This window comes from Homo sapiens, chromosome 21, assembly GCF_000001405.40.
Source record: "Homo sapiens chromosome 21, GRCh38.p14 Primary Assembly".
In the NCBI taxonomy this organism is placed as follows: Eukaryota; Metazoa; Chordata; class Mammalia; order Primates; family Hominidae; genus Homo; species Homo sapiens.
The window spans coordinates 6,468,819-6,483,295 of record NC_000021.9 but is presented as its reverse complement, the minus strand read 5'-3'; the positions used below and the strand labels follow the sequence as shown (position 1 = coordinate 6,483,295).

The 14,477-nt window shown below is 51.1% G+C and overlaps 1 long non-coding RNA gene across 2 annotated transcripts in view, besides 1 other annotated feature; it reads left to right on the top strand.

Annotated features, from left to right (window-relative positions):
• LOC102724701 (uncharacterized) overlaps positions 1 to 14,477 on the top strand; it is a 441,766-nt gene that overhangs the window by 187,436 nt on the left and 239,853 nt on the right. The gene's annotated exons all lie outside the window — the stretch shown is intronic.
• Positions 1 to 14,477: part of a sequence alteration artifact (region identified as an assembly artifact by the Genome Reference Consortium. This region falsely duplicates sequence located at GRCh38 chr21:43035651-43187643) that runs on past both edges of the window.

Genomic DNA, 14,477 nt, shown 5'->3' with positions numbered 1-14,477 from the left:
CACTCAGTCTGAAGGAGGGAAGATGGCAAAAGTTGTACTTTATATTTCTTAACCGCTAAGAATCAGAAAGCTTATTTAAAATATACATGACTTTGAGAGGCTGAGGCAGGAGGATCACTTGAGTCTAGGAGTTCAAGACCTGCCTGAGCAGCAAACATAGACCCCCATCTCAACAAAAAATCAAAAAATTAGCTGGGTGTGGTGGCACATGCCTGTGGTCTCAGCTACTCGGGAGGCTGAGATGGGAGGACCCACCCAAGCCTGGTAAGCCGAGGCTGCAGTGAGGTGTGATTGCCACTGTACTCCAGCCTGGGCAACAGAGTGAGACCCTGTCCCAAAAAAAAAACCAGTAAATGATAAAATGTGAATCAAAATGCCATAAAAAGTGTCTTCAGACATTGTAGTAAGAGGAGCTCACAGTCACACAGGAAGCCTGTCACCCTGGTCCCCACTCCCCCACCCCAGTGTGGGTCTATGATGCGGTTGAGGTGGGAAGGTGAGCATGACCCTGAGTGCCCATGAGGCACTGCTGCCCCTCTGGTGTGCGTGGATCATGGTTGAGAAAGAGCAGCCCAGTGAAATGAGTCCAGGCGGTCCACCAGTGGCAGATAGAGTTAAGCTTTTATACAGGTGCTAGGGCCAGGCAGATTGTTTTTAAAAAGGAAGAATATAAAAGCCACTTGAAATAATTTTGATTTATAATGAATTCAGGTCCAAATACCACTGTAAATTGTTTCTTACGTGAATATTATATGACGTTTGCTGAGATATAAAACCAAATGGCAAACAGCTGCCAGAATAAACTTTAAATACGGTATCAGCACATCTGATTCAACAGTGGTGTTGAATTATCTAAGTTACTGTGTGCTCCCTGCAGCAATTTTTTTTTAAGAGACGGAGTCTTGCTCTGTCGCCTAGGCTGGAGTGCAGTGGCACAATCTCGGCTCACTGCAACTTCCGCCTCCCAGGTTCAAGCGATTATATGCCTCAACCTCCTGAGTAGCTGGGATTACAGGCACACGCCGCCAGGCCCGGCTAATTTTTTGTATTTTAGTAGAGGTGGGATTTCACCACGTTGCCCAGGCTGGTCTCGAACTGCTGAGCTCAGGCAATCCACCTGCCTCGGCCTCCCAAAGTTCGGGGATTACAGGTGTGAGCCACCATGCCTGGCCTCCCTGCAGCATTCTTTTGCTTGCTGTTGAGTCAGGAGGACTAACAAGCTTACCATATGCATGTGCTTGTAAGTAGATAAGGATCATTTTAAATATTTCTGAAACCATGATTAATGGGGTCATTGCCCTGCTAATTGGAGAAAATCTGTTGCCTTCAAATGAACTGAGTATGGGGAAGGTATTGGTGGTGTGCCCACGGCAGTGTCTAAAGGGGTGATGGTGGTCACTGCCTCTTTTCTAGTTCAGGATTGAACTAGAATTTACCAAAAGGGAATAAACCTAAGAATGATTTCTGGAAAAAGTCTCAATTCAAAGCACAGAGGAAGAATAGAATTATAAAATCTGATTCTCGATCCTGTGCGATGGAAGGTAAGACTTTGAGTCTCAGAACACTAACAAGCCATGCGGGACGTGGCTATGGATGGCCCTAAAAAGCACTTTATTCCCAGACCGTGAATTTCACATTCCACCTAAATTTTACCAAAGACGGGATCAACATAAGATTTCTAACTTTTAATTTGCCAAGTGGGACTTTTTAGCTTGCTCTCAAGTTTCACCATCATTTCATGAAATAAAAGTTCTATTTTGGAAATATCTAAACATACATGACAGTAGGGAATGCAGTAATAAAGCCCACATGCTTTACCCTGCGCACCCAAGTTTGCATGCCTAACGCAGGGGACCCAGGAGAGGACAGCCGTCGAGCGTGTTCCGTGTTATGACGCTCCCTGCAGTGGCTTGTTATTTCATGTTTCCCAGGCTCCAGGGGTTCGCAGCCACCCAGTGGCCAGCACCGCCAGGACGCTGGGACATGCATGCACACCACGGGGTGAGCAAGACACAGTGCCTGCCTGGCGAATGCTGTGCCTCTGCCCTGGAGAAGCGGGGCTCAAATCGAAGCAGCACTTCCTAGGAACCACCGCTCTGTTCCCAGAGCTCCCTTCGGTCCAGATGAGCAGCCTGAGAAGTGAGAGGTCCAGGGGGATGGCGGGGTTAGAATCTCAAGGGCTTTGGAAATAGCAAAGCTGAACCAGGTTGTGGGGGCATGGAAGGTAAATTTTACCTGCCCTGAAAATCCAGACACCAGCAAGGGGAGTTGTGGTTGACATGGGACAAAGCAGGAAGAAAAGGGACCTCTTTAGCTCTTTATCCCAGTTGACCCACACAAGCTCTTGAGAAATAGGAGCGTCTCGCTCTGCAGAAGAGGGAACCGCTTCAGAGACCCTAAGTGGACCAGGCTGTCCCAGTGTGCTGTTCGCTGCAGGTGACAGACAATCTAACAAACTAGCTCCAACAACGAGAAGATGTGTTGGGCCGGGCGTGGTGGCTCACGCCTGTAATTGCAGCATTTTGGGAGGCCAAGGCGGGCGGATCACGAGGTCAGGAGATTGAGACCATCCTGGCCAACATGATGAAACACTGTCTCTACTAAAAATACAAAAAAAAATTAGCCGAGTGTGGTGGCACATGCCTGTAGTCTCAGCTACTCGGGAGGCTGAGGCAGGAGAATCGCTTGAACCCAGGAGGCAGAGGTTACAGTGAGCCAAGATTGTGCCACTGCACTCCAGCCTGGCTGATAAAGTGAGACTCCGTCTCAAAAAAAAAAAAAAAAAGATGTGTTGGCTTCTGTAATTAGGTCCAGTGGCCTTGCCCTGCTGAGCTCTGGTCTGTGCCGTGTGGGTTCCACATAACATTAGGCGAATAGCGAGATGGCCGATGCAGGCCATGACAGACACCCAGCATCTCGGTCTCATAGGCCCAAGTTGGCATCACTTATTTTTCCAACCTGAAAAAAAGGTCAGCTTCCAAATTCTATGAACTGAGTGTGATACTGATCAAAATGGCCCACAAAACTACAGGGGCCTCCCAGTTCTGAATATGGATGCAAAACCCCCACATCCAATATTAGCAAACAGTCCAGCAGCGTGTTAAGGTAAATCTGCCAGTAGTGGGTGTGATTCAATCCAGGAAGTCAAGGATGAATGCTATCAAATACTTCATCTGTTCTAAGTTTTCTTACGTTGTTTCTTTTATTTTTTGAGACAGAGTCTCACTTTGTCACCCAGGCTGGAGTGCAGTGGCACGATCTCAGCTCACTATAACCTCTGCCTCTCCAGTTCAAGTGATTCTTGCGCCTCGGCCTCCTGAATAGCTGGGACCACGAGTACACACCACCACGCCCGACTCATTTTTGTATTTTTCGCCATGTTGGCCAGGCTGGTCTCGAACCCCTGACCTCAGGTGACCCACCCACCTCAGCCTCCCAAAGTGCTAGGATTGCAGGCGTGAGCCGCTGTGCCCAGCCAACATTGTTTCTTATGGTTCCCCCAGTTACGCTTACGTTGCATCTCTTAGCTGGCTTCCATGTCTGTTATATTTTTAATTAGATGTATGATACATACAGCAAAGTACCTCAAAGCTAAACCTGGTTTAAAAGACAATTGCAAGGTGATCATCGTGGTCAAGAAGCAACACAAAGCCAGCATCCAGGCCAGCCCTCCCCGGCCATAAAATTCTTCCTCCCCCTAAAAGAAACAACTATCTTGACGTTTGCAATAATCATTTTGTTTTGCTTTTACTATTTTACAAACTACATATGGTTCACTAAACATGACAGTTTTGCCTGCTTTTAGAAGTGAAATCATGTATGATTTTGTCTGGCACAGCTTGTCCACAATATTCAACTGTGTTGGGTGTAGCTGGCCTAAGATTTGCAGCTGGTGGGTGCATCAGTCTGGAAAAAGCAAAGAATACAGCAGTAAGTAATGGTGCAGGTACAAGTGAGCAGCCGCAGCCAGGAGATAGGTGCGGAAAGAGGAGGAGGAGGGCACGTCCTGGCGCGTGGAGCAGTGAGGGCAGATTTCCTGCGGCAGGAACCAGGAACACACTGGGGTTGTCAGGAAAGACTAGCACCAGGTCACAACAGCCCTGAAATCCCAGGACTCATGTCCCGCTCACCTACATGCCTGCCATCGGTCCTGCAGCTCAGAGCTGTCTTCATGGGGGCCAGGCTGACAGGGCAGCCCCCACCCAAAATGCTGCCAGCTTACAGGGAGGGAGGGAGAGAGAGGGGTGATGAGAGAGAGAGAGACTTCTTGCTGGCGCTCTGGCCCCTGACCAGAATGACCTGCAAGCTGCACATGCCACTGGGTGAAACCAGGCCCACAGTCACTCAGGACTGAGTACTGGGGGGCCCCAGAGGGAGGGACCCTGGGCATCCTTCCCCAGGTGTTGAAGACGTGTGCTGGGAAGAGATCAGGAAAAGGTTGGGGAGGACGCCAGGGAGAGCTCTCACAGGGCCTCATGGGCCATGGGAAGGACCTGGAATCTTTTTTTTCCCTAGAAACAGGGTCTCATCATGTTGCCCAAGCTGGCTTCAAACTCCTGGGCTGAAGCCATCCTCCCGCCTCGGCCTCCCAAAGTGCTGGGAGTACAGGTCTGAGTGACCACACGTGGCTTGTCCCTGGAATCCCTAAGCTGAGTCGTGGGAAGGGTTTGAACAGGAGCATAAAGAGCTCTAATTTATATGCTTAAAGCAGTTTCTCACTGCAGTGTGGGGGACAGACTGCAGGCCGGGCAGGAGTGCAGAGGAGAAGCACACAGACAGGACTGTCCAGGCAAGAGCAGAGGGCGGCTTGGACTGTGATGGGCTTGGGGTGGTCCTCTCCGCTTGGTTTGTAAGCCGTTCTGGTGGGGTGCAGTGATGGGTGACTGTGGTTTTCATTTTCGTATTTCTGATGACTAATGAGGCCGGCACTTTTTCCTGCTGTTAACATTTGCATGTCTCTCTGTGAAGCCGGGTTTAAGTCTTTTGCCTATTTTAAAATATCGAGGCTGGGCACAGTGGCTCACGCCTGTAATCCCAGCACTTTGGGAGGCCGAGGTGGGTGGATCACCTGAGGTCAGGAGTTCGAGACCAGCCTGACCAACGTGGTGAAACCCCGTCTTTACTAAAAATACAAAAATTAACCGGGCCTGGTTGTCAGGCACCTGTAATCCCAGCTACTCAGGAGGCTGAAACAGGAGAATCACTTGAACCTGGGAGGCAGAGGTTGCAGTGAGCCGAGATCACGCCCATTGCACTCCAGCCTGGGTGACAAAAGTGAAACTCTGTCTCAAAAAAAAATAAAAATAAAAAAATTGAGTAGTTTGTCATTTTCTTATTTATTTCTAGATGTTTTTTATATACGGTGGAGATGAATCTTTTGTTGACGTGCGTTGCAAATATTTTCTCCCAGTCTGTGGTTTGCCTTTTCTCTCTCTAAATGGTGTCTTGATGAAAGCCTGTTCTTAGAATTCAACTAAGTTGATTTACCCATCTTTCGTCTGTACACGGTGCTTTTTGTGTTCCATGTAAGATACTTCTCGCCTCCCTAAGTTCCTGCTGATATTCTCTGTCTTTGTTGTAAGCCTTATATATATATATATTGTGTGTGTGTGTTTGTTTGTTTGGTTGGTTTTTTTTGAGATGAAGACTCACTCTGTCGCCCAGGCTGGAGTGCAGTGGCACAATCTCAGCTCACTACAACCTCCACCTCCTGGGTTCAGGCAATTCCCCTGCCTCAGCCTCCCAAGTACCACAGGCGCCCGCCACCACACCCGGGTAATTTTTGTATTTTTAGTAGAGATGGGGTTTCACCATGTTGGCCAGGCTGGTCTCAAACTGCTGACCTCAAGCGATCCACCTGCCTCAACCTCCCAAAGTGCTGGGATTATAGGCGTGAGCCCCCATCCCCAGCCTGTTTGCTTTTTGTTTTGTTTTGTTTTGTTCTGTTTTTGAGATGGAGTTTCATTCTTGTTGCCCAGGCTGGAGTGCAATGGTGCGATCTTGGCTCACTGCAACCTCCGCCTCCCAGGTTCAAGCAATTCTCCTGTCTCAGCCTCCCAAGTATCTGAGATTACAGGCACATACCACCACGTCTGGCTAATTTTTGTATTTTTAGTAGAGACAGAGTTTCACCATATTGGCCAGGCTGGTCTTGAACTCCTGACCTCAGGTGATCCACCCGCCTTGGCCTCCCAGAGTGCTGGGATTACAGGTATGAGCTATGGTGCCTGGCCGCTTGTGTGTGTGTGTGTGTGCGTGTGCGTGTTTTGTTTTTTTTTGAGAAGGATTATCACTCTGTCGCCCAGGCTGGAGTACAGTGGTGTGATCTCAGCTCACTGCAACCTCTGCCTCCTGAGTTCAAGCGATTCTCCTGCCTCAGCCTCCTGAGTTGCTCGAACTCCTGACCTCAAGTGATCTGTCTGCCTCAGCCCACCAAAGTGCTGAGATTACAGGCATGAGCCACTGCGCCCAGCCTGTTAGCTTGTTTTTGAGACAAGGTCTGGCTGTGTCGCCCAGGCTGGAGTGCAGTGGGTGTGATCTCAGCTCACTGCAGGCTCCATCTCCTGGACTCAAGCGATCCGCCCACCTCAGCCTTCCAAGTAGCTGGAACTACAGGTGTGCACCACCACGACTGGCTAATTTTTTGATTTTTTTTTTTTTTTTTTTTTGTAGAAACAGGGATTCACCATATTGCTCAGGCTTGTCTCAAACTCTTGGGCTCAAGCCACCCTCCCACGTTGGCCTCCCAAAGTGCTGGGATTACAGGTGTAAGCCACTGTGCCCAGCCCCCGTCATAAGCTTTAATATGTTCACTTTCACATTTAGCTCTAGGATTTGTCTTCCTTTTGTTGTTGTCATTGTTGAGACAGGGTCTCACTTTGTCACCCAGGCTGGAGTGCAGTGGCATAATTATAGCTCACTATAGCCTCAAACTCCTGGGCTCAAGTGATTCTCCCACCTCAGCCTCCCATGTAGCTGAGAATATAGGTGCAAGCCACCATGCCCATCTAATTTTTTTTTTTTTTAATATAAACAGGGTTTCACATGTTGCCAGGCTGGTCTCAAACTCCTGGCTTCAAGTGATCCACCGGCCTTGGCCTCCCAGAGTGCTGGGATTACAGGCGTGAGCCACGCATGCAGCCATGTTCCGTGTCGGTGTGAAATCAGCGCTTTCCTACATGGATATCCAATTGCTCCAGCAGCATTTATTGTAAAAACAACCACCACCTTTCCCTGCAGGACGCGGCTCCCTCTGTGGTAGTCCCGTCACCGTGTGCAGATGGGTCTGTTCTTGGATTCCCTTCTGCTCGTGGGTCTTTTGCACGTCCTTGTGCCTGGGGTATATTTTGAATGAACAGGAGTCTACAGGGGCCGGGCACAGTGGCTCATGCCTGCAATCCCAGCACTTTGGGAGGCCTAGGGAAGTGGATCAGCCCAGGAGTTCAAGAGCAGCCTGGGCAACATGGTGAAACCCTATCTCTACAAAAAGTATTTAAAAACCAGCCAGGTACAGTGGCACATGCCTGTGGTCCTAGCTGCTCGGGAGCCCGAGGTGGGAGGGTCACTTGAGCCCAGAAGGTTGAGGCTGCAGTGAGCCAGGACTGCACCACTGCACTCCAGCCTGGGCAACGGAGCAAGACCTGACTCAAGAAAAAAAGAGCCTATGGGATTTGCTGTTGCGTCCAGTGTGGGCTGTGAGAGAGAATTCAAGGATGCCTCTGAGGGTTTTCACCTGAGTAGACTTTTTTTGCCTTATCAACTTTATTTCTGACAAAGCAGATTGGAGAACATGAATCTAGATTTTAAGGCCCAGAGAACTTGTAAGGCCATCCCTGTCCATGGTCTGACCCGGGACTGCCCACCTGCGGGTCAGCTTGGGCCCACACAGCATGCAGGGACGCTGGCCCTGTGCCTGCTTGGGGGTAGGGAGGGAGTGAGTCCCCAGGGCTCGCGCCATTTAAACAGATCAGCGCCCTGCAGTGCAGGCATCTGCACAAGTCAGTGCCGAAGCCTCGGCATGACGCGGTCAGACAGGTCACACTCCTCTCCAGGGAAGGATGGGGGGTGGGGGGGTGAGGAGAGAAGCCAGGAGTGGCCCCTCATGGAAACATGACACTGTTCCCGTGTTCCCTCACCCAGAGTGGGCTGGGCAAGGCATCAACCATGCCAAGGCTGTCCTCCCGCACCCCGAGGCCACTTCCTTAGTGCCCACTGCCACCCCTCAGGCTCCTCCTGGTTCCACGGACAGTTGGCTTCTTCCCCAGGAAGGTTTTGAACCAGTGAGATCCATGCAATAATCAGGTTAACTCAAGCGCCACCCGGCAGCCAAGGCTGACACGCCGCGCCGCCTCCCCGGTCTCGGGAGCTCCCAAGCGCTTTGTAAGAGATCAGCTGAGACCCATGGTGGCCTGAAGCCGCACAGTCTGGAAAATATGACTCCCCTCCCATGGCCGGGCTCCCCTCCCACCGCCAGGCTCCTAAGAGAAAACATGGTCTAAAGCTGAAATCGCCTTCTCCTCTCTAACGCCCAAAGAAATTAAAGTCCAAGGTCTTTTCTTTCTAGCACGTCATATGTGACAGAACCTTCTCAACCAAACAGTCCCGAGACCGCCCAGATGGCTGTCTTCCCATGCCCGTGCTCCGGGGGCAGCAGGACAGGCCTGGAAACTGAGTCTGCAGGTCTGTGGAGCTTTCAGGAGAGAGCCGGGCCTGGGCCCAGCAACCCAGCAAGTGAGGTCACCACCCAGCCTCGGCCATCTTGCCAGGGGTTCCAGCTGACTTGTTAGATGGCATGGTGTGGCTCTCAGCAAGGAAGCCAGCCCCTCACCCCCCTGGGACTCCCCCTCAACAGGGCACCTCCCTCTCAGCAGCATTCCAGGAGCAGCTGGCCTGTTCACACAGCGGGGCATCCTTGGAGCCTACATTCCACCCCACGCAGCCAAACTCGATTTGGAAAACGCCTACCTCCAACTATTCAGGCACCTCCTCAAATCCCAGGTCTTTTTTTAAAAATAAGTTGAATCAGCCAGGGGCACGGTGGCTCACGCCTGTAATCCCAGCACTTTGGGAGGCTGAGGTGGGCAGATCACCTGAGGTCAGGAGTTTGTCACCAGCCTGGCCAACATGGCAAAACGCTGTCTCTACGAAAAACACAACAATTAGCCAGGTGTGGTGGGTGCCTGTAATCCCAGGGAGGCTGAGGCAGGAGAATCGCTTGAACCTGGGGGATGAAGGTTGCAGTGAGCCGAGATTGCACCACTGCACTCCAGCCTGGGTGACAGAGCGAGATTCCGTCTCAAAAAATAAATAAATAAAAATAAGTTGAATCAGCCGGGTGCGATGGCTCACACCTATAATCCTAGCACTTTGGGAGGCCGAGGTGGGTGGATCACCTGAGGTCAGGAGTTCAAGACCAGCCTGGCTAACACGGTGAAACCCCGTCTCTACTAAAAATACAAAAAATTAGCCGGGCGTGGTGGCAGGCGCCTGTAGTCCCAGCTACTCAGGAGGCTGAGGCAGGAGAATGGCGTGAACCCGGGAGGCGGAGCTTGCAGTGAGCTGAGATCACGCCCCTGCACTCCAGCCTGAGTAACAGAGCAAGACTCCATCTCCAAAAAAAAAAAGACCAGCCTGGCCAACATGGTGAAACCCCATCTCTACTAAAAATACAAAAATTAGCCAGGCACGGTGGAACGCACCTGTAATCCCAGCTACTTAGGAGGCTGAGGCAGGAGAATAGCTTGAACCCGGGAGACGGAGGTTGCAGTGAGCCAAGATTGCACCACTGCACTCCAGCCTGGGCGACAGAGTGAGACTCCGTCTCAAAAAAAAAAAAAAAGTTGAATCATAGGAAATTGCCATTTTTTTGTGGGTCAAAAGGTCACATTTCAGCAATTTCACGTGGTTCAAACTGGGGCTGATTGGCGTCGTGGGAGGACCACAAAGTCCCATGGGTAAGAGTGGGCCCAGGAGTCCCGCCGCCTGGTCTCACCCAGCTCTGCTCCCTGTTCCTGCACACTCGTCTTTCTCTTCTGTAAAGGGATGGTCAGGTCGTGCCCCTCCTTCAGTGTTAGGAAGATCCTGTCAGGTAACACAGGTGAAGCTCCCAGAGCAGGGCCTGGCACATCCGCAATCAGTGCATGGCAGTCAGTTGTTGCCGTTGTCGGTAGCAATAGCATTAGTAACTGTAGCCGGGTGTGGTGGCTCACACCTGTGCTCCCAGCTACTTGGGAGGCTGAGGCAGGAGAATCACTTGAGCCCAGGAGGTCAAGCCTGCAGGGCGCCATGAATGCACCACTGCACTCCAGCCTGGGAGACAGAGCGAGACCCTGTCTCTAGAAAAATGAAAGATACAGGCTGGGTGCGGTGGCTCACGCCTATAATCCCAGCACTTTGGGAGGCTGAGGCGGGTGGATCACCTGAGGTTGGGAATTCGAGACAAGCCTGACCAACATGGAGAAACCCTGTCTCCATTAAAAAATACAAAATTAGCTGGGCGTGGTGGCGCATGCTTGTAATCCCAACTACTCGGGAGGCTGAAGCAGGAGAATCGCTTGAACCCGGGAGGCGGAGGTTGCAGTGAGCCAATATCACACCACAGCACTCTGGCCTGGGTGATAGGGTGAGACTCCGTCTCAAAAAAAAAAAAAAAAAAAAAGAAAAAGAAAAAGAAAAGATACAGTATTAGTAACTGAAGGTGGGATGTGGGGGTGTGGGGGTGGGGCAGACACGCAGAACGGGGAGCAGGAACTCTGCTTGCCCAAATGCAGAGTGGAGAGATGGCGTGAAAGTGAGTGAGTGCACACGTTACTCTCGGAAAATGACACAGCGTTGCTGGAAGACGTGCAGCCAACCTGAGACACGGACCGCCTGCATTCCTGGGCCAGCAGACTCGCCCCTCAAGTCAAAAGGAATAAATGTAACCAAAGAAGTGTGAGACTTACATACCCCAAATCCCAAAACACCACTGAAAGAAATTAAAGATCCAAGCTCCTCCTGGACGCCTGGGCTCAGGAACCCTCCCCTCAGAACGATCTTGGCCACCGACCTACACAAATCCTCCCCTCCTCTCATACCCAAAGGGCATTGTTGCTATAGTGCCAGCCCTTCAGCCCCTCGGATGCTCCAGCTCCTTATTCTAGAACTCTCCATCGGCAGTTCTTTCTCTCCAGTGACGCTGCCTGTCCATGGACCCACCAGCTTTTCACTGTCCCTGCCGCCTGCTGCCCATCCTTCCCGCCCCACCCAGCGCAGATCCCTGCAAACAAACGCAGCTCAGCCTCCCGTCTGTGCCGTCTCCCACCAACACACTCAGACAAAACTTCACTCTCACACGTAACCCAGCCTGCAAACAGCCCCAGTCCCGGTGGCTCCCAGCAAAGGGCATTTTGTTCTTCCCCTGCCGGGCTCTGCAGGGCTGGGCCCCGGGCTGCAGGTTGAGGTCAGGGCCGCTGTCCCTGAGGTCTCAGCTGCAAACAGGCACACTCCCTTCTGCTGTGTGTCCCAAGGGGTGAAGCAAACCACGGCTCAGCCCAAATCCAAAGGGTGGGTAAGTTTCCGCCACTGCCGTGACTTGGGCAGGGAGAGAGAATCTCGTAAACACACACGACCATCTCCAGCGCTCTTCCCCTGCCCTGCCACGCGGGCCACTCACCGCAGCCAGAGAAAAGCACAGCCGTGCTGCCAGGGGCCTGGGAAACTTGTGAATGGAAATTCGCAGGAGCCCTCAGTGCTGCCCACCTCTCCTCCTTCCCTTCCTCTTCCTCCTCCTTCCCTTCCTCTTCCTCCTCCTTCCCTTCCTCTTCCTCCTCCTCCTCCTCCAATCTCCTCCAGTTCTGAGGGCCCAGCCTTCCGGCCACCAGGGGATGGTGCAGGCCCAGGCCTCTCCCCTCTGCTCGCCCCCCAGTGGGGTAGCGGTTTATCCTCTGTCCACTCATGACATGTGCACTTTCTGCATACGTGTTATACTCTGAACAAAAGTAACAACAACAAAACCCTCCATCAGCTCGGCCTCGCTGTCCACTTGCTGCTGACCAGCTGTCAGGCCTATTCCTTTGAAGAAACAGAGGTGATTAGAAGGAAGCTCTTCCACCTTGTCCACAGGACGCCAGCATTCCTGCATCTCTGGCTCTGAGCTCCTTCCCAGTACAATGTGGTGGGCCAGGCCCTCCTGGGGGCTCTGCTCCTGCAGTGCCTCCTCTCATGTAGGCAGACACAGAAATGAGGCAGAGGCTAGAAAATGATGAGGGCCGGGGAGATGTGTTTTTCTTTTTTCTTTTTTTCTTTTTTTTTTTTTTTGAGATGGAGTTTCGCTCTTGTTGCCCAGGCTGGAGTGTAGTGGCGCGATCTCAGCTCACTGCAACCTCCACCTCCCAAGTTCAGGCGATTCTCCTGCTCCAGCCTCCCGAGTAGCTGGGATTACAGGTGCCTGCCACCACAACCAGCTGTATTTTTTCTTTCTTTCTTTCTTTCTTTCTTTTTTTTTTGTATTTTTAGTAGAGACGGGGTTTCACCATGTTGGCTAGGGTGGTCTCGAACTCCTGACCTCAGGCGATCCACCCGCCTTGGCCTCCCAAAGTGCTGGGATTACAGGCGTGAGCCATTGCGCTGGCCAGTTTTTGTATTTTTAGTAGAGACTAGAGACGGGGTTTTGCTATGTTGACCAGGCTGATCTCAAACTCCGGACCTCAGGTGATCCTCCCACCTTGGCCTCCCAAAGTGCTGGGATTACAGGTGTGAGCCACCCCACTTGGCCATTCGTGCACTTTCAGTGGTCAGGTGTAGCTTTTTCATTTTAAAATAGGACCTACGGCTCACATTGATATAACTAAGTGAATAAATAAATGAGGGAGAAGGAAAACTCTAATAATGGAATGCCAAATGGTACATGGAGGAGTGATGGGCTTAGAAAAACCACTATTCAGCAACCATTTTATTTTATTTTATTTTACTTATTTATTTACTTTTTTTTTTTTTTTGAGACGGAGTCTTGCTCTGTCGCCAGGCTGGAGTGCAATGACACAATCTCAGCTCACTGCAACCTCCGAGTCCTTGGTTCAAGTGATTCTCCTGCCTCAGTCTCCCGAGTAGCTGGGATTACAGGCACGCACCACCATGCCCAGCTAATTTTTGTATTTTTAGTAGAGGCGAGGTTTCACCATGTTGGCCAGGCTGGTCTCAATCTCTTGACCTCGTGATGCGCCCGCCTCAGCCTCCCAAAGTGCTGGGATTACAGGTGTGAGCCACAGCTCAGCAACCATTTTAATAAAAATCAATTCAGACAAAATCATCAGTAAGTGTTAAAACTAGAGAGTGGGCTGGCTGCAGTGGCTTACCCCTGTAATCCCAGCACTTTGGGAGGCCGAGGCAGGTGGATCACCTGAGGCCACGAGTTCGAGACCAGCCTGTCCAACATGGTGAAACCCCGTCTCTACTTAAAAAAAAATACAAAAAATAGCCAGGTGTGGTGGCAGGCACCCGTAATCCCAGCTACTTGGGAGGCTGAGGCAGAAGAATCGCTTGAACCCGGGAGAGGGAGGTTGCAGTGAGCCGAAATCACACCACTGCACTCCAGCGTGGGGGGGAGGTTGCAGTGAGCTGAAATCACACCACTGCACTCCAGCGTGGGTGACAGAGAAAGATTCTGTCTCAAAAAGAAACAAAACAAAACAAAATAACAAGTTAGAGAAACCAGATAGACTGAGTGACAGATTCATACACACCTGCACACGTGTGTGTGTGTGTGTGTGTGTGTGTGTGTGTGGAGAGACAGAGAGGGAGCAAATGTAGTAAAAACTTAACATTTGAAATAACAATGAGTTTCTGATAATAGAAGCAAAAAAAATTAATATTTGGAAAATCTGGATGAGGGAATATGACATTCTGTATGGTTCTTGCCACTTTTCTAATCTAAAATTACGTTAAAATTTCTAAAAAATTAAAAAGTATTTGGGCTGTGTAACAAATTACTGCAAACTTGAGTGGTTTAAAACAACACACATTGGGCTGGGCGCGGTGGCTCACTCCTGTGAGCCTAGCACTTTTGGGAGGCCGAGGCGGATGGATCACCTGATGTTAGGGGTTCGAGACCAGCTTGGTCAACATGATGAAACCCCGTCTCTACTAAAAATACAAAAATTAGCCTGGCATGGTGGTGCGTGCCTGTAATCCCAGCTACTCGGGTGGCTGAGGCAGGAGAATCGCTTGAACCCGGGAGGCTGAGGCTGCAGTGAGCCAAGATCTCACCATTGCACTCCAGCCTGTGTGACACAGACTCTGTCTCAAACAACAACAACAAAAACAACACCGTTTATCATCTTTCTCTCCCGCAGGCTGGCTGAAGGCTCTGAGGGAGGCCCTGGCCACCTTTCCCAGCCCTGTGGAGGCCGCCAGCCATCCCTGCCATTTCTCGTCTGGTGGCAGCACATCTCATCTCTGCCGCCATCTCCACATGGCCTTTTTCTCTCCGCGTGTCTGTG